Raw genomic sequence first — 26,262 nt, forward strand, 5'->3', positions numbered from 1 at the left:
TCTAGAGGATGTCTGCCTATCTTCTTGAGGGGGCCCCTAGGGGTCCCCAAATCAGTTGACTGTGTGCTCCCTGGCCGCTGGGCCTGCAACACTCTGCCCAGCTGCTCTTGCTGGCTGTAGTTCTGCTCAGACCTCCTCGGCAGGGTGGACAAGGCTCCGTCACCATGCAGGTGACCAGCACTCACTGCACAATGAGGCAACTTTGCTGCCGCCTTGCTGGACACATTCCTGGGAAGGTCACAGGCACTCGGGCCTCAGTGTCTCCATCTGAAAAAGGAAAGCATTCCACAACATAAGTCGCCAAACTAAACTTCTGGCTCAGATCTTCCCACATTCTTTGATTTGTTTATCCTCAGAATTCTAACGTCTCTGCTTCAGCTCACATCCAGCTGTGCTCTTGGTCATGCCAGGAGATGCCCCCAGATGCTCTGCTTCTGCTGCACTTCCCGTCTATTGCAGAAGCATCTGCTCGGACTCCATTTCTTTCTCTATCCCCTGTGTAGAGATGTGGAGCCAGGAGCAGCCAAGCAGCCAACGGCAGGTCAGAGGGGTGGGCATCGCCTCTCCCTGACCGGGGTCTGGAGAAGGGAGGGCCAAAGGGTGGATTTAGGCCTCAGCATGTTGGGGAGATGATGCTGGGGGTGGTAGCGGCCAGTGGAGGTGGGGAGGAGGGCAAGTTCCAGAGTGATGGCCAGATGGAATGAGAAGACTCCCTGGGTTCAACCCTGGCTCCACCTCTGCTGGCAGGTGCTCCTGGGGAGGTGTCTTAACTGCTCTTTGCCTGAGTGGCCTCTGTAAAATAGGAATAATAATAATAATATACACACATCCCTCATGGGGTTGCCTTGAGGATTAAATCAGTCAATACACAGAAAGCCCCAAGACTACAGCCTGGCGCAGAGCAAGCATTTGAACAACGTTTTGAGTCACCACCACCACCCTTTTTGCGATTTACAGGACTGGTGACTGTTATGAGGTCTGGGGACAGGTCCCTGTTCTTCCCAGGCCTTGGGACCAGACATCCAGGTGGGTGGCAGAGCTATTCACAGGGATCAGGAAAACAGAAACTGGAACCTCATAAGGAAGAGAAGTCCACCCATTCTTCATTTTCCGTGGAGGCCAGGAGTGATGCCTTGATCCAGTTCCATTGTCCCCACCTGGGCCTGTGCATGGCCGTCAGCACCCCCACAACCGCCGAAGGCTGGCCCTGGTGGCTTCTACGGGGATTGCTCTCTGTTGTCTTTGAATCACGCTGCTGGAGAGGAGCTTGCGTAGATTCCCAAGTTTGTAATTAAAACAATCGAGAAACAATTTTCACTATATATAAAAAAAAAAAGAGCTAAACAGAAAGTCTCTTTTAAGCAGATGTTGTGCTGTGAGCCATGTAGAAAAATTATTTTATCATCAACCCAGCTCGCCTATCTCAAGGCTTGAAAGAAACTAAGGGAACATCTTTTCTACTAGCCCAGCGTTTTTTAGCTCCTAATATCATTTCACATTTAAAGGTGACAGCAATATCTTTAACGTTTTTCTATTGGATTAATAACATTTAATGTTCAAAGCAATAAAGCGAAATGTTTTCGTGAGGGTGCTTTATATCACTAGTGGAAAATCCAAGTTTAAAAAAAAAGACCACACACACAAAGTAATAGACGTGGAGAGCCGTAAACCGAGAAAGGGAACCCAGGCGTGGAGGTGGGAGCCTGGGCGTGGAGGTGGGCTCCCGGGGTGGGTGGGCTGGTGGGTGTCCAAGGCCCTGAGCCCCGACTGGCTGGCCAGCGCTGGGAGGGGGTCGGTGCCCGTGGGGGTTGAGAGCATGGGGGCCCTCGCCCACCCGCCAGCCATTCATCTCCACCCAGCAGCGGAATATGACAATGTTAGCATTTTTCATTTCCCTGACGTTACCATTAATAAAGCAATGATCCAAAAGAGGCTTCGCTGAGTCTGTGCTTTATGCTCCCATCACTCACGACTAGATAATTTCACACAGGATCGTTTTAAAATTAAATGACGATAAAAACGCTCTGCTGTTCTGTGTTCACCAGTTCATAGAAGTCTATCAAGTCATTAATGTGTCATGACAAACTGCTCGATAGATACAAGAGTAATTAATTATTTGAATAAATAACAAGTTGAACTTGGAGCTTTGAACCACAATGACATACACATCCCATTAGGGGCGTCTTGGAGCCTCCACAGGGCACTGGTACGAAGAGTTAAAATGCAGGCCAGGGTATTGGAAGTGATGAAAACCAATTTCGTAAACACAGGGTAATATTTTACGGGGAGATAGCCGAAGTGTCACATTTCCGTGCCCGCATGAGGTTCAGTGTTAAAAGTTCCCTGGCAGCGGCCATTCCAAGACACCATTTGATCAGAGATGATTTCAGAGAACAATTATACAGATTTTCATAATCACCATTAATCTCTGCATATTTTTCAAGATAATTACAGCAATTATTATTTAGATTTCTCTTTTATATGCCCATTGTAGAAAGGAACAAGTGCTTATTATACCGGATAGTTCAGAGAACCTTGGATGAGAATTCTTTGTCATCTCTGCGCTCGTTATTTCAACTCATGTTGCCTCTGAAAGTTCATCAGCTGCAGAAATTAGAATACCAGCAGGCCCTGTTATTAAATCTTAAGGTTGAGCTGAGACCATGGTTAGAGTGGCTGGCTGAATTGTTCATTTGTGGGACTGCTGAGCTCAGGTGGGATTACTGTCAGGTGGCAGGAGATGCCCCTGACAGGTACAGGCAGAGATGGGTGGCCGCCTCACGCCCATTTCCCCTGACAGGCTTACAGAGTGAACTCACAACCAATATTTAGAGGATACATTTTCGTGACATGCCCTTTAAAGATTAATATTAGATCTGAAATCTGGGTAATTGATGGCATTCTGCCTCATAGACACAGCAACCAGACAGAAGGCAGCTCAGCACATCCCTGCTATTTCCAGATCAAAGCGCATGTCAGTTCGGCATCAGCTCCGTCTCACACTGCACCTTCCGCCTCATCTCCCCACTGTCCTGCGGGCTGGTCCATTGGAGCTGAGTCCTGGGCCAGTGGGTGTGGTGTGTGCTGCTTTCAAGAGAAGCCCTTTCCCAGGGAAATGGTTCTTGACAGTCCTGCTGGTTGGAAACACACCTCTGCGTAGGTTGGTGTGTGTTCTCCTGCCTCCCGTCTCCAAGAGGCGTGAGTTCTAAGGGCTCCCATCCTCTCACATGCACCATGAGGACTGTCAGCCGCATCCAGCTCAGCTAGATGATACGAGTAGCTATGTGAGGGGTAGGAAAACCAGGTATTCAGTTTTGAACTGAGAAGTCCGGTATTTCTGCTTGCTATAAAATGAGAGAAATACAAGGCATAGAAATGCCTTTTTCTCCATAAATTAAGTTTTATTATGAAGAGATGACCTGGTTCGAATGCACTCAAGTGGTACCAACTCACACAAAATAGAAGTGGGGTTTAGATTGCTGCCGACACTCTGTGGCAGGTCTCTCTTTATTTGGTCTATCCCTGGCCACCATGGTGACTCATCTTTTGGAATCACCTGGTGGCTCTAAGGAGGAAGAAGTCTGGGGCCCTCTCAATAGCCTTTCCCAGGTGGCTGTCCCCTGAGGGGTCACCTCCCAGCCTGAGCTCCAAAGCTTCCATCCCCAATTCTCTGGGCTCTCTTGAGGGTGCTCAGGTCCTGGGGATCTTGGTCCCACTAATGAAGGTCAGAAGATCCCTGTGCTGTGGTACCAAGTGTCATATTTTATACCATTTTTTTTAACCTGTAGGGAGTCTTTTTGAAATCTTAAGCAAAATTTATAACAAGGTTATAGCTTTCCAGTTTGTGCAGTACTCAAGCCTACTATCTTCGTCACTCCCGTACTTGGGCAGATAAGTGATTAAATCATGGAATCCGAGTAAGGAGTGGAATGTCCCCGTTTCACAGAGTCCTAAAGAATCCCCATTGTGAAGCAGCTTTCTTCTGGGCACACGACTTTATTCACTCATCTGTCTATCACCTCATCCAGGCCTTGGCTACTGAGAGTTCCCCCACCTACAGGCCCTGGGCCAACAGGGACCATGGTTCCCTCATGGAGCTCATAATCAGGGGAAGACATCCAGGCAGATGATCGGAGCACAGTCATCCACTATGATGGGTGGTAGCTCAGGAGGCAGCCCAGGGGGTAACGTTTCTGCCCTTTGAGGAGTTCACAAGCAGGTATATAGGAAAGGACTCTCCAGGCTGATCCCACAGCAAGGAGAAAGGCCTATCACAGATGGAAGGCTTGACTCAGTAGAAAGTGGTTAGCAGGCCAGAATAGCTAAATCCTAAAGTGTAGGGAGCAGAGTGGCAGGGAGGAGAGAGCAGCTAGGGAACAAAGCTAGGTTGGGATCAACCTGGAAGGGCCTGGACTGTGGCATTTGACATGACCCTATAAGCTTTAGGAGACATTGAAGTTTTTAAGTAAAGGAATGGTACACGAGGTCTGCACTTGAAAGAGAACTCCAGTGATATTGACGTGGGAATATTTGTCTTGGCCATGAATGGATCTTCTGGGAGAGGGCCCGGAGGACACTCCCTAACATCCCTTAACTCTGTGTGGAGCTTGCCTTCACTTTCACACCTTCTCGATTATATTTTCTCCACTTCCATCTTCAGATGACTTCTTCAGGTCACATGGCAAGGTGTTACCCTCTCTTCCTTCACATAGCGGAAGGCAGTGGATTTAGGAGATCACCGTGTCCACCCAGCTCTGCCCTTGACCAGCTTTGCGGCCCTGACAAGTTCCTTCCCTTCTGGGCTTCAGACTCCTTCTGGGGGGCATGGGAATGCCAGTGCCAGGGCCATTGTGAGGTTTATACGAGAACACCTGTTACTCCCGGCGTGCTTTGCTTCCCTTAGACAGATGCTCTCGTGCCGGTATCGGCTTCAGACACCCAGAGCATCCAAGACACCTTCTCTCTTCTTGCCCTTTGGTTTCAGGGGAGGAAAGGGAAGGCCCAGGACCTACTTTTACCTTTGCAGACCATTTTTGATAAGACTTTATGAGTAGAATCTGGGTGAGGGCTATAGAAATCAGCTGTCATGTAGGATGGACCAACTTAGTGAGATTTATACATTGCATCCTCGGGTTTAAATCCAGGTTCTCAAAAATTACCAATACATATTTAATACTTGGGGTGACTCAGCATTTGTGAGAATGAAGACTATCAGAGCTGGATCTTAAACATCTTCTAGCCCAGGGCTTCTCAAACCTAGTTGCACATTAGAATCACCGGGGAGCTTTGAAACAATGCTGATCCCCAGAGCCCACCCCTCAGACCAATTGAATCAGAACCCCTGGGGTTGGGGGTGGCAGGCAGCAACAATCTTTTCAAACTCACCAGTGAGCACCAGGATGAGTCACTGATCTAGCCCAACCCTTTTACTCTCAGATGGGGGCACAGACTTCATTGCCCAAAAGCTGGGCCCCCTGATGCCAAGGCCAGTTCTCTTCCCATCGTTACTTATTCAATAGGTTTCTTTGGATGCCATTATATGTTAGATACTGTTCTAGGAGCTGGGGGCGCAGCTATCATGGAGCTTACCCTTTAAATGCACGAGTGGCCTCCAGATTGGTGGGGGCGGGGGGTGGGGGGAGCACATTGAAACTGGGTCCTTCCAGCAGTGTGTCAAGAAAGTCTTAGCCTCTGCACATCATTGGGATGGTAATGATAACAATAGCTAACACATGCTGAACATTTGTTTTAGATGTGTTATCTTTCTGAATCCTTGCTTCGCCCCTAGAATAATCAGCCCCATTTCCAGAGGCTGTATAAGTGTGTTTCATGGGTGCAGAGCTAGTGCCTGGTGGGCCTGGCATTTGAACCTAGGGCTGTCTGACACCAAAGCCCTTTCTGTTTACTGACTTTATTCTAAGGCAGCCAGTATAAAGATACAAAGAGAGCAGTTTCTGGAGAAATCTATCTGAATTTCCTCTCAAAGATGTAGCCCCTCCATCAGTTAGTTTTTGTTGCATAACAAACCACCCTAAAACTTAGGGCTTAAACCAACCAACATTTAGAATTTCTCATGGTTCTGTGGGTCAGTGGGTGATTATGCTGGTCTGGGTCAACCTGGCTGCAGCCGGATGGCCTGAGATGGCCCCACTCCCTTGTCTGTAGTTGGCAGGGTGGCTGCTCCAGGGATGCCTTACCTGGGGATGCTCGTGTTTGCTCCACGTGATCTCTCAGGCTCCAGGAGGCTTCTCTGAGCCTGTGTACTTGGCCGACCCAGCACTCCAAAGCCAGGGAAGTCTAACCTGGCCTCACAAGCGTGTTTACGTCTCTGCTGGTGTCATAACTGCTAATGTCCCATTCACCAAAGCAAGTCACATGGCCAAGCCCAGATTCAAGGGGTGAAGAAATAGATTACACCTCTTGATGAGAGAAATGACAAATCATATTGCTAGGGGGCACACATACGCGGATAGTGTGACATGACCGCGTAGGTGACAAATGGTGGGATTTGCCACCATTTTTGCCATCTACCACTGCAGACCGCACCAAAGAAGACTTCCGGCCCTGACAGGTGCCAGGAGTTGTTAAGGAGGAAAAAAGTGTTGTATTGTTGAATTTATTTACATACACTTTAGAGCACTTTCTATGGTGCCCTAGAGATGCATACTTTATAATTAAGTAACTCTGGTGTTTGTGATCATTTCTATTACAAATTGGATATCAACCCTGGGATAGACCTGTAATAACCTTGTGTATGCCACTCACTTTTGTGGGAAATCAGATTTTTTTTTTTCTTTTGAGACAGGGTCTGGCTCTATCGCCCAGGCTGGAGTGCAGTGGTGCAATCTCAGCTCACTGCATCCTCCACCTCCTGTGTTCAAGTGATCCTCCTGCTTCAGCCTCCCGAGTAGCTGGGACCACAGGCATGTGCCACCATGCCCGGCTAATTTTTGGATTTTTTTTTTTAGTAGAGACAGGGTTTCACCATGTTGCCCAAGCTGGTCTCGAACTCCTGAGCTCAGGTGATCTGCCCACCTCGGCCTGCCAAAGTGCTGGAATTACAGATGAGAGCCACTGCGCCCAGCCGGAAATCAGATTTGATTGAAGTAATTTAAACTGAACATCACCTTTTCTGGGGCTGTAACGTGAGGACTCCCCCGGGTGTTGTAGATCCTATCCTTTACTTCAGTATCCTGTACCTTGTGTAATATCCCTTGTCTGATGTTTTCTCATAATAAGATCTGTTATGCATTTTGGCAGGAATCCTCCTGAGGCCATCGATAGAGTCTCACTCTCAGTGCATCCTGTTGGGAGGCCCACGGTGCTGGTGTGACCCAGTACTGGTGAAGTTAGCTTCGATCACCTGGCGAAGGTGCTGTGTAGCAGGTTTCTTCACTGTAAACTTACTGCTTTTACCTTTGTAATTAGTAGGTAATTTGTGGGGAATACTGTAGGCCTACGTGAATAACTTGTTCCTCATCAGATTTTCACCTGCCACTTTTAGCATCCATTGATTTTTATAACTCTGCCATTTCTCCAGTATATAAGGAAGAGGTTTCCCTTATCCTCAGCCAGTTTATTTCTTTATATTGGTATGGACTAGGGTATTCTTACTCATAGTTGTCATTTTTTATTTTGATGCTCAAATGGATTCATATTTAGCCAATGGGAACCCCTTCAGGCTGGCTCTCATGCCCTTCTGCTGTGTTCCCATGATTCTTTGAGAACCTCTTTACTTTCTGGCACAACAAGATGTTCCTGGCCTTTTCCCTTCCTGCCCAGCACTGAATCAGCCACTTCTCCAAACAGCTCCTGTCTCTTTTAGAGGAGATGCTAGAAAGCAGAGTCTGGGTATGAGGAGTGCCCATTGCCTCTGAACTGCCGTTGCCTCAGCAGAGAGAAATGTATGCACACATGTGTGTAGAGAGAAATATATGTACACATATACATATAAGTGTACACACACACAGATGTGCGCTTATGTATCTGTCTACAACTACATATTAAAACCGACTTTATAATGATACATCTGATTTTGATCCAATATCACAGAGTACATTCTGATCTTCCCATTGTTTTTGCCAGCTTGGAACGTTAACATTCCTCAGCTCTGTCCCAGGTCTGCCTCTCTCACCATGTTCCAGAATATTTCATCTTCTCTCATGGTCTCAATTATCACCATGCTGGTTACTTCCAAACTCACCCTCACATCCCCGCCCGCCAGGCCTCATTTCTGGATCTCCACCCGGCAGCCCTCACACACCCATCTCACATTCTCGGTCATAATGTTCTAACCAGTGTTGACCAGTTGCCTCCCCTTGGCTGTGGCCCAAGCCCCTCAAACCAGACACATGCTCAGCGGGACCCACGAGTTCATCTCTGCTGCTTTTCCGCTGGCCCCCACGCCCCGTCAGTACCTGGCATTTCATTCTCCCAGCTCTTTAGGCCAGGATCCTGGGGTCACCCTTGATTCCGCCTTGCCCCTCTGCAGCCAGTGGCCAGGTCTCTTGATTCTTCCATCTAAATGTCCCTTGGCCTTCCCCAGCCACTCCATTCTTACTGCCACTGCCCTCATCCGGGCCACCAGCGTCCCTCGCCTGGTTCAGTGTCAGAACTTCCTCCCTGGTGTTCCTGCTCCAGCCTCACTCCCTGTAATTCATTCTCCTCTCCATAGCCAGGGAGACGCTGTTAAAACCTAAATCTCCCCATCTCTCTCTCCAGCTCAAAGACCCTTTGGTGGCTCCCCAGGGACCTCATGATGTCCTTCAGTCTGCTGAGAATGGCCATCAGGACTCCTGGCAGGCTGGTTCTTGGTTGTCTCTGGACCCTACTTCTATGCAACAGTTAAAAAGGCTGAGACACAGAGCTCTAAGAATTGATGTGGAAACACAGTCAATTGAAAAAAAGTAAATTGCAAAACAGTTACTTATGCTGTGATGCTATTTTTATTAAAAACACGAATACATACAAAACAAAATTCTGGCCAGCTGTAGTGGCTCATGCCTGTAATCCCAGCTACTTGGGAGGCTGAGGCAGGAAGACCCCTTGAGCCCAGGATTTCGGGGCTACACACAGCTATGATGGCACCACTGCACTTCAGCCTGGGTGATAGAGCAAAAGTCCATGTCTAAAAAATAAAAAAATAATATTCTGTCCTTTTTCTATACATGCCAACACGCAGGTGAATGCATGGGAGACAGGCCGGCAGGACCCCAGGCACTGTGTACAGACCACTACCAAGGCTTGCTCTGAGAAGGGTCCAGGGATCAGCGGCTCCGGATTCAAGGGGTGCTTTGACTTAGCTATCCTATTGGAATGGTTTCCTTAGAAAATATATTCATGTGCTGAAGTGTTAAAGAGTACAACTTAAAAATATAGATGGGTTGGTTTTGAGAAGGTAAAAAGAGCCCTGGCAGAGAAAGTGCGTCTTCCAAGCCTGAGGTTCCCTGCTCCACAACCGAGGGGTGTATGTGATGCTCAGCCTGGGGGACAGGCGTGCTCCGTAGTCACAGGCCATGCCTGTCAGGCCCTTGCTGTCAGTTACCCCCCGTGGCTGCAGATCACACTGCCTGTTTTAGAGCATGCCTTCTTCCAGAGGATGTGGTCGCTACTAGTGGTAACGTATCTGCATTGGACCTTGGGTCTGCTTTTTGTTCTGCATCTACAAAGCTCCTTTGGTCTCGAGCTCACTGAGGAGTTTCTGCGTTTGTCGCTGTGGGCAGCAGGTGTGTGCACTGACCCAGTGGCCCCTCAGCCACCAGGGTACCTTTGAACTCATGTGGAAAAGTATCACTGAGTTGCGTTTTATCTTTACCTTGAGCAAAATGCAGTTGATCCCTGCCCCAAGCCATTAAATATTTATAACGTTAAAAAAATGTTTCTTTAATGTCTCTGAGCCTCTCTTTTCTAAACTGTGGAAGAAAGACAATAACAATACCTGGACTGCTATGATGTTTAAATGAGATAAAAACATAAGGCCCTAGGTACAAACTAGCTGCTCAGTAACTGTTAGCCACTGGTATTAGTATTAGTGAGTATTAGTGTTATTACTGCCGTACAGAGGAAAATACCCTTTCGCGGTAGACCCCTTTCTGCCTGCTTTCCCATAAAAACAGGAGTGCAGCCATATTAAATTACATAACCCAGGGGCTGTGAGTCCCAACCCAAAGACGTTTGGAGGGACAAAAGCAATGTTTGCTGAGGAGTAACTCATTGGGTCCCCCAGACCATGGCTCTCCGTGGTGTCTGCTATCTCTGGTGTTGCAAGTCAAGCTCGACTTGGAAGCAAGATCCAAGCTTCTGAGGCTCAGTGAGAATGTTCTTGTTGTGTGTCGAGTTTCTTGTGGGTGTGGACTGTGGGGCAGCTGCCTTCCCTCTGTGCTCCCATAGCTTTCAGAGAACTGCCCTGGACCTGCATGAGGTTGTGCAGCCCAGCACTGCACCCTGGACCCTGGAGGGAGGGACTGCCCTGAAGGAGGAGGTGGGGGGGCTGGTGGCCCTAGATTCCTCCCAGGGCACTAGGGATGCAGAGGGATGAAGCGAGCCCCTCAATTACAGTCTTCTGTGTAGAGATGGGGAGCCTAGGAGGAGTCAGTGCTCTGTGTGTGTGTGTGTGTGTGTGTGTGTGTGTAATCCAGATTGCTCATGCCAAATAGAACCTCTAAGAATGTTCGTTTGTGGTGTGAGGGCACCCTGGTCTGGGTGCCCAATGAGTGACTCCTTAGCAAACATTGCTTCCGTCCCACCAAACGTCTTTGGATTGGGTCTCACAGCCCATGGATTGTGTAATTTAATATGGCTGCACTTACGTTCTTATGTGAAAGCAGGTAGAAAAAGGTCAACCGTGAAAGGGTATTTCCCTCTGTACAGCAGTAATAACACTAACACTAATACGAATGGCTAACAGTTACTGAGCAGTTCGTTCGTACCTAGGGCTTTATGTTTTTATCTTGTTTGAATGTCATTGCAGTCCAGGTATTATTATTTTCTCTCTTCTACAGCTGAGGAAAGAGAGGCTCAGAGAGATTAAATACTTGTCCCAAATTACAGAACTAGTTAGAAGTGGGGCCTGGTCTAAACTCATTTCCTGCAGAAACAGCTGCTTTCGACATAAAACCGCAGCCTTGCCCCATTTTCTCAGTGGCTGCTGTGGTCAGGCTGTTCTTTCCTGTTGCTGTCTGATCCCTCAGCGGTGCTGCGGAGTGGGCACAATTATCCTCATATGACAGATGAAAATCTGACTCTGAGGTTAAGTGACTTGCCCAAAGCCATACGGCCAACAAGCACTGGGCCCAGCTCGGCGTTCACACGTGTCTGACTCCGGCGCCTGTGCTCCGTCCTCCCGTGCTGCCTCTCACGCGGGGGACTCGGGAGGCTCCGGCAGTGGCTGATAAATCACTCCTTTTGGCTTATGAATAACATGGCAAAACAAATTACTTTGGGGATCTAGAAGGAAGTTGTTGGCCCTGTGTAAACTCAATTGGAATGTCACTGAGCAGACAGCTCTGGAGGCATCTACAAATATCTTCCAAGGAATATCCCCAAAGTGAAATCACCAAGAAAGCAAAACAGGCTCCGTGTTTTGGTTTGCAAATGAGTTTTGAGAAATGGCCTTGAGATCTTGAGTTGTTGGCGTTTTCCCCATTACAAATTGTAAAGGACTTTTGAAACGCCACAGGAAAGGGGCGAAGAAAGGCTTAGGGTTGCTGATTATTTACAGCTCCAAGCCCCGGGCAGGTACACAGAATTAAAGGCCTCCCACCACTCCAATTGCATTTAATTTTATTCCGAAAATGACTACCTGCCAATAAGCCTCATTGTTCACCAGCATCTCTGCAAGTACTTTGAGGTACTATTACCCGAGTTCACTTAACACCGCTTGACAACTTTAAGCAGATAACAATTGAGGTGCTGGTAATAGAGTCTGTTTTTTTTTTTAATTTTTACATTTTTACCACATGACTTTATGACTCTCTTTATCAAGCATGTTGAAATTAATCCATGTGTTGATTGGAGTATTTCCTCACCCCTGCTGTGTATTGAGACGTTGGGGAGGGATAAGGGTTGGCGGCTCTGAGCAGCTAGGTATTCCGGGGCAATGGGTGGTCCTAAGTCCGGAGCCTTGGGAGTTGGTCAGTGGTGGGTTTGTGTTGAGCCTGCAGAAGTCTGAGGTGTGTGTTTGGAGGGGAGAATCAAGGGATGGCTCTGGAGGACTGCCTTGGCAGGTAAAATTATAGTTCCCATATGAAGGGAGGATGCAGGAGCTATAATCCCATCTCGTTGCCAGGCAAAGTTCCTACAGATTCATGGCAGAGCTGTCTGTGCAAGCAGGAATCCAATTTTATGTCCAAACAAATGCAGCATGCAGATTGGACTGACTGCTTCCCCGAGAATAGCAAAGACAGGCATTCAGGTCAGCTGGCAAAAAAAAAAAAAACCCACCACCCCCTTTTTCCTCCTTTAAAATAGGGGGTGGGATTAATACAGTAGCAGATTAGAGCTTTATTTGTTTAAACCTTGTAGAATCTGTAAGCATTCACAATCCCCTTGACTTGTAGTGCCTGATTGTAAAAAGAACAGTTGAATGAGCTCATTGTTTTCTGGTTTTTTTCTTTAATGTATTTTACAAACACTCTGGTGACAGGCCTGACATGCTGATTTCTATGTACTGGCACTTCAGTTTGGGATTACAGCATTAATAACAGAGTTCCATGCATCATGCCATTTTTAAGCATGATCGTTATGATAAAGGGCATATACTTAATTACAGGCCTGCTTAATTACAGCTCTGTTGAAGCTCGTTTGTTTAGGAGAATGCTAATTGCGCCACAGAGCCAGCGGCACATCCTTGCTTTCATCTGCTGGAGGTAGCTCGATGCTGTGGATCAGCATTTTGTTAAAACTGCCACCAAAAATAAAAAAAAAATTTAAAAACAAGAAGAAGAAGAAAGCACTGGCCTAGTACTGAAAGGAAACCTGCCCCAGCACATGGCTTTTGGTAAGAGCAGAAGCCAGGGTTAGGTGACCAGCCCTCCCTACGTGGTGGGTGCTTTATCTCTGTCGTCTTATTTCATTTTTCTTCACCCTCACCACAGCCCGCAGAGGCAGCTGTAGTATTATGCCCACCTTACAGACAGGGCAAGTAAGGCTCAGAGAGGTGGGGTGGCCTGTGCAACAGCTGCACATCTGCACCTGCTGAGCTGCAGCAAAAACTCAGGTCTGCCAAGCTCCCAGCCCCTCCTTCCCTGCCATAGCCCCCCATAGCCCCAGAGCAGGTTACACTCTGGGTTTGAATCCTGGCTCCAGCCAAGCCTCATAACTCCTCTAAGCCTTGCAAGTGGTGTATTAGTTCATTCTTGCGTTACTATAAAGAAATACCTGAGACTGGGTAATTTATAAGAAAAGGTTTAATTGACTCATGGTTCTGCAGGCTGTACAGGAAGCATGGCAGCATCTGCTTCTGGGGAGCCCTCAGGAAGCTTCCAATCATAGTGGAGGCAAATCCAGAACAGGCTCATCACATGGCCAGAGCAGGAACAAGAATGCCAGAGCAGGAACAAGAAAGCCAAAGAGCGGAAGGTGCCACACGCCTTTAAACAACCAGATCTCGCGAGGACTCACTCGCTATCACAAGGACAGCACCACGGGGAAGCTGCTAAACCATCCACAAGAAATCCTCTCCCCACATAGCTCAGTCATCTCCCGCCGGGCCCCCTCCAATACCGGGGATTACAATTGAACATGAGATTTGGGTATTTGGGTGGGGACACAGATTCAAGCCACGTTAAGTGGTAATGTTGAGGCTTGAGTTATTTGATGCCTGTTCACCACCTTGTGTATGGGCAGTAAGCACGGATTCCCTTTCCTTTTCTATTTTGTAGAACTGGGCTTGGGGAGAACTTCTTTACCTCCCAGGTTTGTTGGGGGTGGGGGGCTTTGTCATGGCACACTGAGAGCTCCAGGGCCTGGAGAGAGGGCCACTTTGTACCTGGGTGCCGTCTTTGGCTCTGCCAAGGAAAGGGTAGGTGCCGTCCCTGCATCTAGGTTGTGAGTGCAGACTGGTCAGGCAGCGTGGGGGGATGAAGCCCCATCCAAGCCCTTAGGCTGCATGGAAGGGGCAGGTCAGGGGTGAAAATGTGTGTCTCGTTCCCAGCTCTGCCTCCATCCAGCTCCTCGAACAGCATGTCACCCTGCATGGGACTCAGAAATAGACTAAATGCTAGAACATCACAGTCTCTCTGCTCTAAAATAATAACAAAGACAAAATGCTAGTTGCAGCTAGGGAAAAAGAAAGGAAGGAAGTAAACGTGGCTCCCCAGGAGAAGCCAGGACGGAGATGATTCATGAACATTCTTTTGGAATGCATGAAGAATGCATGCCGTTGATTTTAAGAATTATGTTTTGCAAACCTCTAGATGTTTTAAAATATGAAAAGGCTGCCCAGATGAGAGGAGACATGGATGTTACAGAATTAAGAGGGGATTTAGCAGTCCCACAGATCAGCTTTCTACCCAACACACAAAATCCCTCCCTAGCTCCCCAGCAAGTCGCTGTCTGCGTCTAGCCCCTTATGCTGTGACCACCATGAAAACATGTGCAGACATTTGATTATGTTCACCTCAAGTCTTCTCTTATCTGAACCGCCACTTTTGCTGCAGTTCTCATGTGCTGGACACCATACTGGGCTCTGAGGGTGCTGGGCAGGGTGCTAGGATGAACAGAAATGGACAGGATTGTGCCTTCCTGGGCCATCGAACCTGATGGCTGCTTCTCCTTTCCCTCACATGGTCTGGCTTCAGGTTCCCTCACCACTCTGGCCTCCTTGAAGGCCCCCGGGATGACCCTCTGGGAAGGTGGTTCTGGCTCTGAGCGCCCCACTCAAGCTCCAAGTAGACCAGGGTGAGTGACTCATCCGGGCACCAGGACTGCGGCACTGTAACCTTATGATGCTCCGTTTAAATAGTCAGATCACGTCATTGACTTACTCACCTACAGCCGCCTTCTTTCCTGTCTCCTGCTGTTATTCCACGCCTCTTCCATTCCATCCAACACAGTTGGGTTTTCGGACCTACACTACGAGACTCTTCATGGGTCTCTAGTGAACTCCTTCCATTACATTTGGCCCACGATCACAACTTTTTGAGACTTTACTGGTTTTCACTCTGTTATCTGGTTTGTAGACTGCCCACCTCGGCTTCCCATCAGGCGTGCATTAGATGAGCATACCCTGTGTGTCTTCATTTGAGTCATTGATCATGCCCTGGGCACCCTTCACAGGGGTCACTTAAGGTTAGCATTGGTCTCTTAATCAGCTTCTTGAATGTGTGGTTCAACCAGTTATGGATTCTGCTAACCTCCACAGTAGCCAGCTGTATTTATCCATCTTGTGTACATGGATAACATGAGAAAATTTGTAAGATGCTTTGCTGAAATCCATATTATTTCAGCCTGCTTTAATCTTTGATATACTAGATTTTCTAAAATAAGTGGGATTTGGTGGGCAGATTATCTGCTTAGCAGAGTCTTGCTGGTCCTGGTGGCACTTGCTTCTCTTTGGAGCCTCCCTGTGCTGGTGAGAAGGGCACTGTGAGAGCCCCGCTCCTCTTGATTCAGCTCCCACTGTGAGCTTCAGCCCATGGGATCCTATCACCTCCTCTTTCTTTCCTCTGAGTTTGTTAAAATCTGTTTTCTAGGCCATGTGTGGTGGCTCACACCTGTAATCCCAACACTTTGGGAAGTCGGGCTGGGAAAGTCACTTGAGGCCAGAAGTTCAAGACCAGCCTGGACAGCCTGGACAGTGAGACCCCCATCTCTACAAAAAATAAAAGTCTATTTTCTAGAAGAACATAGGGAGCATCTGACTATGCCCCTCCTTCTGTCGTGAACTCTCAGACGGTGGTGGTCTGTCCTGAGGCTCCCGTCTCTGTCACTTGACCAGACAGCTCCTCCTTGCAGTTAGGATTAGGTCAGAGCAGGTCTCCTCATCTCTGCTGCTGGTCCAGTCAGGAGCACATGGGCCGAGGGGTGGAGCGAGGCCGTCAAAGTCCTGAGGGCCCCCCTTGCTGCTGCATCTTGCTCCTCAGACATTTCAGGAATGCGTCTTCCTTCCCTCCCAGTGGCTGCTGTGCGGCATCCCGCAATGGTCTCACATCTCATCTTTGCCTCCTCACTAAGGTGTTACCGCTGAGCCTGCCTGAGGGCCAGAAGGTGCCCTCACCCAGGCACCTCAATGCCTGCATGTGGAGCAGGTTGGCCATGGGCCCCACCAACTCCCCAGGGTGCCCCAGAAGGTCTGGGAGGGAGGGCTTCACCTCTGGAGGGCAGATGTGAGGAGGGCCTGCAGACAAACGGGAAGTGCCTCTGAGGGACTTCAGGGCCCACTGGGAGGTGGGGTGAGCACCCTGCCCGCTCCCTGCAGTCTCTCAGTGGCTAAGGGAGGGCCTTGTCCTAATCATATGTGGGTGTGTGTATGCATATGCATACGTATGCACTTATAATGGAAATATATAATTTATACCTTACATATTATATATACAAAATGTAGAATCTGCCGGTCGCGGTGGCTCACGCCTGTAATCCCAAGACTTTGGGAGGCTGAGGCGGGCGGATCACAAGGTCAGGAGATCGAGACCATCCTGGCTAACACGGTGAAACCCTGTATCTACTAAAAATACAAAAAAATTAGCCGGGCATGGTGGCGGGTGCCTGTAGTCCCAGCTACTCGGGAGGCTGAGGCAGGAGAATGACGTGAACCCAGGAGGAGGAGCTTGCAGTGAGCCAAGATTGCGCCACTGCACTCCAGCCTGGGAGACAGAGCGAGACTCCATCTCAAAAAAAAAAAAAAAAAAAAATGTAAATCTATAATCTATGTAAAGGTATATTTTTACATAATATATGTGATATATATATATTTGTGTGTTAGGCTGTTCTTATGTTGCTATAAAGGAATACCTGAGACTGGGTCATTGATAAAGAACAGAGATTGAATTGGCTCTTGGCCCACGGTTCTACAGGCTGTGCAGGAATCATGGCACTGGCATCTGCTTCTCGGGAAGCCCCAGGAAGCTTCCAGTCATGGTGGAAGGTGAAGGGGGAACAGGCGTATCACATGGCCAGAGCAGGAGTGAGAGAGAGGGCCAGGGGAGGTGCCATGCACTTAACCAGATCTTGTGAGAATCACTCACTACCGTGAGAACAGCACCAAGCCATGAGGGATCCACCTCCATGACCCAAACACCTCCCACCAGGTCTCGATCTCCAACATTGGGGATTACATTTTAACATGAGACTTGTCAGGGACATATATCTAAACTATGTCAATATATGTACAAAAAATGCTATTGTTGATATCTAAGTTTTACAAGTGTATAGTCCATTTTCATACTGCTATGAAGAAATACCTAAGACTTCATAATTTATAAAGAAAGAGAGGTTTAATGGACTCACAGTTCCACATGGCTGGGGACACCTCACAATCATGGCAGAAGGCAAAGGAGGAGCAAAGGCATGCCTTACATGGCAGCAGGCAAGAGAGCATGTGCAGGGGAAACTCCCCTTTATAAAACCATCAGATCTCATGAGACTTATTCACTCTCATGAGAATAGCATGGCAAAAACCCGCCCCCATGATTCAATTACCTCCCACTGGCTCCCTCCCACAACTCGTGGGGATTATAGGAGCTACAATTCAAGATGATATTTGGGCGGGGACATAGCTAAACTATATCAACAAGTTACTTTTTTATCCTTGATTTTTATTTAAAGCCCTAAACTCAGAGCAGCCAGCCTGGGCAACCCATTCTTCCTCATCTCCTCTGCTGACTAGCAAGGCAAGAGCGCAGCGTGACAGGAGGCCTGGCTACTGTAGTCAGAAAGCCAGGCTTACGGGACCACCTATGTTTCTAGATCCTTCTCTTTCAAAGACGTGATCATCAGTTGGAAGGAGAAAGAAACACACGCTCCTTGTGGGAGCAGGGAGAAACTGCTTCATGGGTGAGGGGTTTGGCTTTGGAGCGATGGAAATATTTTGGAACTAGATGGAGGTGATGATCGCACACCATTGTGAATGTTCTAAATGCCACTGAATTGTTCACTTTAAAATGGTTAATTTTATATGAATTTTTTAAAACATTTCCCTCCCTGCTTAGATCTTCCTAGTTCCTAGAAGTGATTCCCAGGCTTCTTCCATCCATGGCTTTCATCTCCAGCAGCAGCAGGCGGGGGTAGCAGTGAGCAGGGTCCCCAGGTCCTGAGAGAGTTAGGCACTTGCCCCAGGCTGGAGCCCTCTACCCAGTTCCCCAGATCCCCGTGCATGGGAACAGCAGCCCTCCCTGTCCAGCACAGCCCCTGAGCCCCCAGGCCCTGCCCCTGGGCTGGGGACCTGGAATGCAGAGGTGACTCGCACATGCACCTACAATAAGAGGAGAGGAGACACGGGCCTGGCCAGACCCCAGGGAGGACCTCGGGGAAGGCATGCTGCAGGAGAGGCACTCAGAAGACTGGGAAGGACAGTTGAGGTACAAGCATAGAGGGAGGGAAGGGATGGGTAAGCCGGGAAGAGGGTCAGGTGCAAGGGGCCAGGGCCTTCAATGCCAGTCGAGACCCCCATCTTGGAAATCCTGCCCTTCTCTGTCCATTGGAGGCACAGGCAGTACTGACAGCCTCTGACTAGGGAGGCCTCCCATGGGAGGAGCCCCCTTCCTCTCTGCCACCCCCAGTACTTCTCAGCCCCCTCAGTTCCTGATGTAATCAGGTCTTTGCACATCACCTTACCACCTTCGTAACACACAGGATCCCTAGACATACAGTGACATGTAGATAGAAACAACTGTCACCAGTGAGAGGCAGTTCTTCACTCCCAAATACTAATAAGGTCTTTAAAACATCAGAGGCAGAAAGTCTGGGGAATGAATGGTGAGTGGGTTCTGCAGGGGAGCAATTGCCAGGGCCTGTGCACAGTACCTGGGCGTGCAGAGAGGACTCTGCTGTGGACCCTGCTGTCTGTCTAGCAGGCAAGAGAAGCTGTGGAAGAGATGGATGTGGGCAGAGAGTGGGAAGTGAGGACCATGACAGGTGAAGAGTGGGCTTCGGGACTTTACTGGGGAGGTCAAGTAGCCTGTACTATCCAGAGCTTTGGGGCCACTGCTGCCTACCTTTGTGACCCCAGCAAGCACCGACTTCTCAGAGCCTCTGCTTCCCAATCTCTAAAATGATCGGAAGTGTTACGAGTGCCCGGCCCATCTCAGCAGCACTAGGAAGGGCATGGAAGTCAGGTCAGGCAGATGGTGGTGGGAGCTGGCACACCTCTTCCTGGATATCCGGTGGGACTTGACTCTGCCCTTCTCTAGAAGGCTTTGTGGCTCTTCCAGACTCCTTTATTCATTGCTGAACTTTTTCATCTGTGAAGCAGCATACACGCATAGGTACTTAGAGTTCACACACAGGTCTGCACGCGGGATGTACTGAACGAGATTGAGGCCCAAATGCGGGACGTACTGAGTGAGATTGTTTGGGGCCTTCCCCTCACCCCACTTTCTGGGGAAGTGTTGCCTGTTCGGGACTTTTGTCCCATCTCTTCCGTCAGCTCACAGCAGGTTGCCAGCACCACCTGAAATGGGAGAAGGCCTCTGACCAGGAGTCTCTGTCTAAGTCCAGCAGCCACACTGGGCAGCGGCCCTTCCAAGAGAGGAGGGCGCGGGGAATGCAGCGACTGCCGCCACCTGTGCTGTGTCTTTTTCTTCATGCTGATCCAAGAAGGTTTCGTTTCTTTCCTTCCCTAAAATAAAGTGTGAGCAGAGTTCTATGATGTTTTATCCCTGTATGAACGTAGCATGAGCCATTCGGCTTTTCTTGCTGATTGGGAGGATCCGTTCCAGGTTTTTTCTTCTCTTATGTCCTTTCCTCTTGCTTTGCTGCTTTCTGCTTCTGCTACTCTTCTGTGTTAGGACTGAGAAAGAAAAAATATGACCACTGAAGGTTCCAGAGAAGTCATCATTCCAGGAGACACTGGGGGAAGCAAAGATTGTTGGTCCCAGGAGCGCACTGCCCGACGCTGCCCCCATGCTCTACCTTGCTTCCATTGTGCTCACTCCGTTTCTCCCTGAAACCACAATTTACTGCATAGCCACCACCTCAGGGTGCGGCCACCCCTGACTTCGGGGCTCCGCGTCCCTGCACTCATGACCAGGCCCCTAACAACTGCGGCTGCATGTTCCCGACTCTTCCCAGACCTAAGGGAGAAGCCAACACTGGAAAGGCCCCTACCACTGTCCCAGCAGCCGCATGGCTGCCACGTTGGCTCTGTGAATGCCGGCATCACGTCTCGTCCAGTGTGACCTGTTCCTCAATGTGGCAGGATTTCCAGTCCTGGTGTGGCACCAGAGTCCTCCTCTCTGAGGTTATAATTCATAGAGAAGTGCTCACTTACGGAGGCACACCCTGGGTCGTTTCTGTCCGTGTGCTTTTGAAAGCGATCCCCTGGGACAGGGCGGAGGGAGGGGTGGCCACAGAAAAGGAACCAGGCCCCTGGTTTCTCCATCGTTGCGTCCCCGTTCCATGCCCTTTTTCTCGTGTCCTGTTAAAATTGAGCACACTGGTGAGCCTCTAGTCAGCCCTTGATGCCCTGGGTCTGAGTGACTGAGAGCGACAGCCACTGTTGCCCCCACATGCCAAGCACCTGCTCTGTGCCAGCGCTGGCCAGGTGCCCCACACACTCCACTTCTGATGCACAGGCACCCTGTCATGTAGGTGGCGCCATCTTTTTAAATGTGACTTCAGTTTTTCGTCTTTCAACTTCAGTTGCTCATCTGCAGTCACCAGCTGGGATTTGAACCCAGCCAATCTGACTCCTGAGCTCCTCTTTCCTCCCACTTAGTCTTTTCCCCTGAGTCCAACAGCACCTTAGAGCATGTCTAATGCACGTGCTTACTGCCTTCATCTCATTGCAGCCTGTCCCTGCCAGCTGTGTCACCTTCATCCTGCTGCCAGCCCCTGGTGACTCTCCCGTTACAGATCAGAGACCAGACTCCAGGGGTGGAGAGTAGGGGTTCTGGACCAGCCGCTCTCTGCTCCTAGAGCTCTTGTCTACACAACTGCCTGGTGCTCAGGGGATGACGAGGCGCCTGCCTCTCTCAGTAGGTTGTGTGTCCTGGCAGCAGGGGTGGGACCTGTCCTCTTTCATAGCTCCAGCACATCTGTGCTGGATGTCACCTGGCTCCATCCAGTGACGGATTCATATTCTCTGTTTCGACATCTTCAGTTGCTGGACAACTAAATGCCATCTTCAATACCTTTAATGCCATCTTTTTTTTTCTTCTTTTGCAGCAATGGATGGTGTGCCTTTTATGATTTCAGAGAAGTTTTCTTGTGTTCCAGAAAGTGTAAGTTTTATGCATGATCGCCCTTCCCCTCTGCCACCCCCCAGCCTGAGGTCCCTCCATCCTGATTTACACAGCACGCAGGGCTGTTCTGGCAGTACTCACGCCCCTTCCCCTACCGGAATCTTGTCCGCCTGCGTGTCCTCTCTCCCACTGGAAGCTGAACCCTGCAACCCAGTGACAGGAACTCCTGAGGTTGGGGGGTGGGTCGTGTGCATCTCTGGCCCTATCAGCCAGTGCCCCATGTAGTAGGTGTTTGAGAAATGAAGAAAACAACAGCTGGGGGATGGGAAAGTAGCAAGAGGCTGTCAGACAAGCTCAGGTGCACTGAGCCTTTGCCATGCCGCACGTGATTAACCCGACCTGAGCTTCCCTGGTTGTGAATGTTCTTTGTCTCCCAAGTCCAACTTAGTAAGTTTTGTTCTTTCTTACTTAAGGATGACAATTTCCTGTAGAAAGGAGGCTGCCTCGTTTTCCCATTGTCATAGCTGCATTCTGCGCTCTGACACGGAGGCCGCCATGCAAATGTGGTGCCTCTAGCTGTGGTCTCCTGCCCATGCCAGTCCAGCATGGACCCAACCATCCACATCAGCACTCTCACGCAGGCCAGGCTCACGCCATCTTTTTATCAGAGGGACCGAGTGAGCTGGCCGGGACCAAAGGCCAACTTCAGACTGTGAGGGGCGGCCACCCTGCATGGCAGTGGGGTCTCTGCCTCTCACTGCTAGGGTCAGCCCTCCAATGGCGCCAGCCCCCAAGGTGGCAGTGGCCCCCTCCCAGCTGCGCAGGCTTGCCCCACGCTGGCTCAGCAAACCCGTTTCTGGTTTTGATCCTTTCTGCAGAAGTTGGCCTTGACTAGCTAATAAACATGAAGGCCCCAGCTTGGGCACAGCTAAAGAATCCTTTAGTGTTTTTCTTGGATCCAGCTTAAAACCACCCGGCTTGCGATTTGACCTGCTCTGTAGTTTCCATTTTCGTGAAATAGAATAGGCCTCCTCTGAACCCTTCTGGTAAGCAGCTTAATCTTGAAAAATGCTCGTGATGTGACATGCGGAGCTCCAGGAACTTCAGCCGACTCCACGGGGCCGCGTTGCCATGGCGACGCTGGCGCCTCTGCCGCCGTTCCCTGGGAGAGGCAGCTCTGTCCTGCTCACCAGCTCCAGTTGGGAGAATTTAGTGGGGTGGTTAGAGCCTAATGACACAGCAGCTGCACCTCTGCTGGGTCGCAGGCAGGCGGCCCCGCTCTCGCACCCCTCGTTTTGGCAGCACAGAGAGCACCACACTGTTCCGTGGCTACCGGCAGAGCAGCCGCGAGCGGAACGTGTGACTCGGTGGCCCCGTCCCAAGATCGCCCTCGCGAATGTGCTGCTGCCGGGCGCTGCCACCTCGGCCAGGGCTCCAAGGACACATACCCAGCCAGGCCCGGTGCCCTGCGCTCCCTGCTCTTCTCAGTGCAGCGCCCCGCAGCCCCACTACGGGGGCCGCCGCTTTTAATGGACGAGGGAATGAGGAAGGGATTTAACCCGCAGCTGCATCGCCAGGAGGCGCTGAGACTGGTTTTGAGTCTGGGTCCTCAGACTCCAGAGCTGGCCTCACAGGAAACCCCTGCTGGCTTCGCGGAGGCTCCAGCTCCCCTCCCATCCCTGAGCTGCCGCCCTTCAGGACCATGCGGGCCCTGGGGTTCTGTCGAAGGCCCTCAGGTTTAGCCTTGGCCCCAGGAGGCTGGGCCAGGGACCCTTCTGGGGAGCACAGAACACTCATGTGCCCAGTAGGGACTCAGACCAGGAGCCACATGGACTGGACGCCCTCTGCCCTCCGAGCCTCTGAGTCCAGGCTTCTATGGGCCTCTAGCTCACTCAACTGCCATGTGTATTTGATTTTTCATGCTGTCTGTTGAAAAGCCAGCATTTTTTTAAGTCTCCAATCTTCATGAAATTATAAAAACTCTCATTAAAATGCAATGTTATCATTTTTTCCACATCGATTTCTCAAATGATAATTGATGGGCAGTTGTTTCATTTACCTGGCATTTCCAAAGACCTGGAATCCCCCCAGCTCCTACCCTGGATTCCCCCTAAGGAACTCTTCCTCCCTGGAGTTCCTTAAACCTCCTGCCTTACCCAGACACAGTGGCTGGGCGGCCTCCGGGGAGAGCTTGGGCACCTCCGGTTTATAGCTGCAGCGAGAAAGAGCAAACCTTGCCTGCGTGTTCTGCTGGCAGGGTGAGAAGACAGGTGAAGCAGGCCAGCCACGGTCAGTCCTCCAGGAGACCTGGATCCCCCTGGGTGCCACAGACCACAACTAGGCAAAGGTCCCGCAGCACAGGGGCCAGCACCTTGAGGGCCACATTCCTGCAGCAGGCTCTATCATCACTTCTCCTGCCACCCCCACGCGTGACCGAGAGTCCCACTGACTGTCTTCCTGTGGAAAGTGGGTAGAGAAACGCTAGATCACACCGTGGCTTGAGGTGTTACCATTGTCATGCATAAAAGTAAGTGTGGGAGGAGCATTTTCCAGCTATTTAAAAGGGCAACTTCATCTGTGTTTTCAGATGCAGCCCTTTGATCTCCTGGGAATCACCATCAAATCTCTAGCAGAAATCGAAAAAGAGGTAAGCAAGCCATCAGGGGAGGGGAGGGCAGGCCTGGGCCATCGCCTGCACACCGGCGTCTCTCGTGTGTTCCCCTAGGGATCCACTCCAAGAGAGGGACAGGTGGAGGTGTTCCGTTCTCTTCTGAGAAAAACACTTTCGTTGCACCCAAATGTGTTTCTTAGATAAAGTAACTAAATTCTAATGTATTTCCTACTTCCAGTCAAATATGACCCACATCTTGTCTTCTCTAAGTCAGAATGTTTTACATGACAGACAGAGCCTCAGTTCTCCTTTTTTAAAAGAAGTCTCAGCTTTGGGAAGGTGGAGGTTGGAGGACAGGCACCAGGTTGACTTTTCTTCCTCCATTTGTTTTGTTTTATTATTTGCCACCAGGAGGGGTTTCGGGAAATGACCAAGCGTCTCCACAATTTAGGGGCAGGTCAGGGTACCTTCCACTGTGCTTCATGAGGTCAGGGTACCTTCCACTGTGCTTCATGAGGTCAGGGTACCTTCTTCCACTGTGCTTCATGAGGTCAGGGTACCTTCCACTGTGCTTCATGAGGTCAGGGTACCTTCCACTGTGCTTCATGAGGTCAGGGTACCTTCCACTGTGCTTCATGAGGTCAGGGTACCTTCCACTGTGCTTCATGAGGTCAGGGTACCTTCCACTGTGCTTCATGAGGTCAGGGTACCTTCCACTGTGCTTCATGAGGTCAGGGTACCTTCCACTGTGCTTCATGAGGTCAGGGTACTTCCACTGTGCTTCATGAGGTCAGGGTACCTTCCACTGTGCTTCATGAGGTCAGGGTACCTTCCACTGTGCTTCATGAGGTCAGGGTACTTCCACTGTGCTTCATGAGGTCAGGGTACCTTCCACTGTGCTTCATGAGGTCAGGGTACCTTCCACTGTGCTTCATGAGGTCAGGGTACCGTCCACTGTGCTTCATGAGGTCAGGGTACCTTCCACTGTGCTTCATGAGGTCAGGGTACCTTCCACTGTGCTTCATGAGGTCAGGGTACCTTCCACTGTGCTTCATGAGGTCAGGGTACCTTCCACTGTGCTTCATGAGGTCAGGGTACCTTCCACTGTGCTTCATGAGGTCAGGGTACCTTCCACTGTGCTTCATGAGGTCAGGGTACCTTCCACTGTGCTTCATGAGGTCAGGGTACTTCCACTGTGCTTCATGAGGTCAGGGTACCTTCCACTGTGCTTCATGAGGTCAGGGTACCTTCCACTGTGCTTCATGAGGTCAGGGTACTTCCACTGTGCTTCATGAGGTCAGGGTACCTTCCACTGTGCTTCATGAGGTCAGGGTACCTTCCACTGTGCTTCATGAGGTCAGGGTACCGTCCACTGTGCTTCATGAGGTCAGGGTACCTTCCACTGTGCTTCATGAGGTCAGGGTACTTCCACTGTGCTTCATGAGGTCAGGGTACCGTCCACTGTGCTTCATGAGGTCAGGGTACCTTCCACTGTGCTTCATGAGGTCAGAGTACCTTCCACTGTGCTTCATGAGGTCAGGGTACCATCCACTGTGCTTCATGAGGTCAGGGTACCTTCCACTGTGCTTCATGAGGTCAGGGTACTTCCACTGTGCTTCATGAGGTCAGGGTACCGTCCACTGTGCTTCATGAGGTCAGGGTACCTTCCACTGTGCTTCATGAGGTCAGGGTACCTTCCACTGTGCTTCATAAGCTGGAACACATCTGGCAGCCTGCTTTCAAACAGTTCACACATTTTCCTAATAAAAAAGAAACCCAGGACTGGCATGCGGATGATAACTCTGAAGAAAGGGAGTTGAGTCAGACCACCAGGGCCCTCCTGTTTCCCTAAGACAGCACGGGGTGTGTGGCTTCTCTTCTGTAGAGCGGGTGGTTAAGCAGTCACACGCCACAGCCAGCTCTCCTCCGAGAGGAACATTCATCTCAAAGATGGAAATGGTAGAACCATTTCAATATTCTCCATTCCTTGGGGTTTTCTCTTGTGTACCCAGCTAGCAGAAGCCGGCTGCATTATTGAAAGATGGCTGAAATCAAGCAAAATTGAATCAATGTAGTACAACAAATTTCTAAACCTGTCATAGCAAAAACAAGACAAAAAAGTCCCCCTTTGTCTTTGATTTTCAGTAAATCATAAAAACCAACCTGATTGTCATATATAGATTTTTTTTTCTTTTTTTGATAACTCAGGGAAAAAATGGCTGGCTGGGACATTAGAAACATAGGTGTGCATAAAATTTCACACCTGCCCTTCTCAAAGCAGGGGAGCTGTGGGTGGCTGTGAAGTCCACCTGC

At 49.8% G+C, this 26,262-nt stretch overlaps 1 protein-coding gene across 2 annotated transcripts in view, besides 4 other annotated features; it reads left to right on the forward strand.

Moving 5' to 3' along the window:
• MVB12B (multivesicular body subunit 12B) overlaps positions 1-26,262 on the forward strand; it is a 180,212-nt gene that overhangs the window by 133,219 nt on the left and 20,731 nt on the right. For both annotated transcript variants that reach the window (NM_033446.3, XM_005252297.1), the window contains exons 8-9: positions 21,322-21,377; positions 23,926-23,985. In NM_033446.3, coding sequence (NP_258257.1) covers positions 21,322-21,377; positions 23,926-23,985 — 116 coding nt within the window. The remainder of the gene's footprint in view (positions 1-21,321; positions 21,378-23,925; positions 23,986-26,262) is intronic.
• Positions 14,359-15,558: an enhancer, noted in NCBI's record as "P300/CBP strongly-dependent group 1 enhancer chr9:129236685-129237884 (GRCh37/hg19 assembly coordinates)". NCBI's record gives its function as "activates an origin of replication core promoter dependent on BRD2, BRD4, P300/CBP, MED14 and CDK7 cofactors, with strong dependence on P300/CBP, by STARR-seq in HCT116 cells {active_cell/tissue: HCT116}" and the evidence as "EXISTENCE:reporter gene assay evidence [ECO:0000049][PMID:35650434]".
• Positions 15,720-16,299: an enhancer, noted in NCBI's record as "H3K4me1 hESC enhancer chr9:129238046-129238625 (GRCh37/hg19 assembly coordinates)". NCBI's record gives its function as "activates a minimal SCP1, AML or CMV promoter by ChIP-STARR-seq in primed H9 embryonic stem cells {active_cell/tissue: H9 hESC(primed)}" and the evidence as "EXISTENCE:reporter gene assay evidence [ECO:0000049][PMID:30033119]".
• Positions 16,300-16,878: an enhancer, noted in NCBI's record as "H3K4me1 hESC enhancer chr9:129238626-129239204 (GRCh37/hg19 assembly coordinates)". NCBI's record gives its function as "activates a minimal SCP1, AML or CMV promoter by ChIP-STARR-seq in naive and primed H9 embryonic stem cells {active_cell/tissue: H9 hESC(naive and primed)}" and the evidence as "EXISTENCE:reporter gene assay evidence [ECO:0000049][PMID:30033119]".
• Positions 22,323-22,617: a silencer, noted in NCBI's record as "tiled region #3753; HepG2 Repressive DNase matched - State 15:Elon, and K562 Repressive non-DNase unmatched - State 21:Repr". NCBI's record gives its function as "represses a minimal TATA promoter and a strong SV40 promoter by Sharpr-MPRA in HepG2 and K562 cells {active_cell/tissue: HepG2 | K562}" and the evidence as "EXISTENCE:reporter gene assay evidence [ECO:0000049][PMID:27701403]".

This window comes from Homo sapiens, chromosome 9, assembly GCF_000001405.40.
Source record: "Homo sapiens chromosome 9, GRCh38.p14 Primary Assembly".
NCBI lineage: Eukaryota > Metazoa > Chordata > Mammalia > Primates > Hominidae > Homo > Homo sapiens.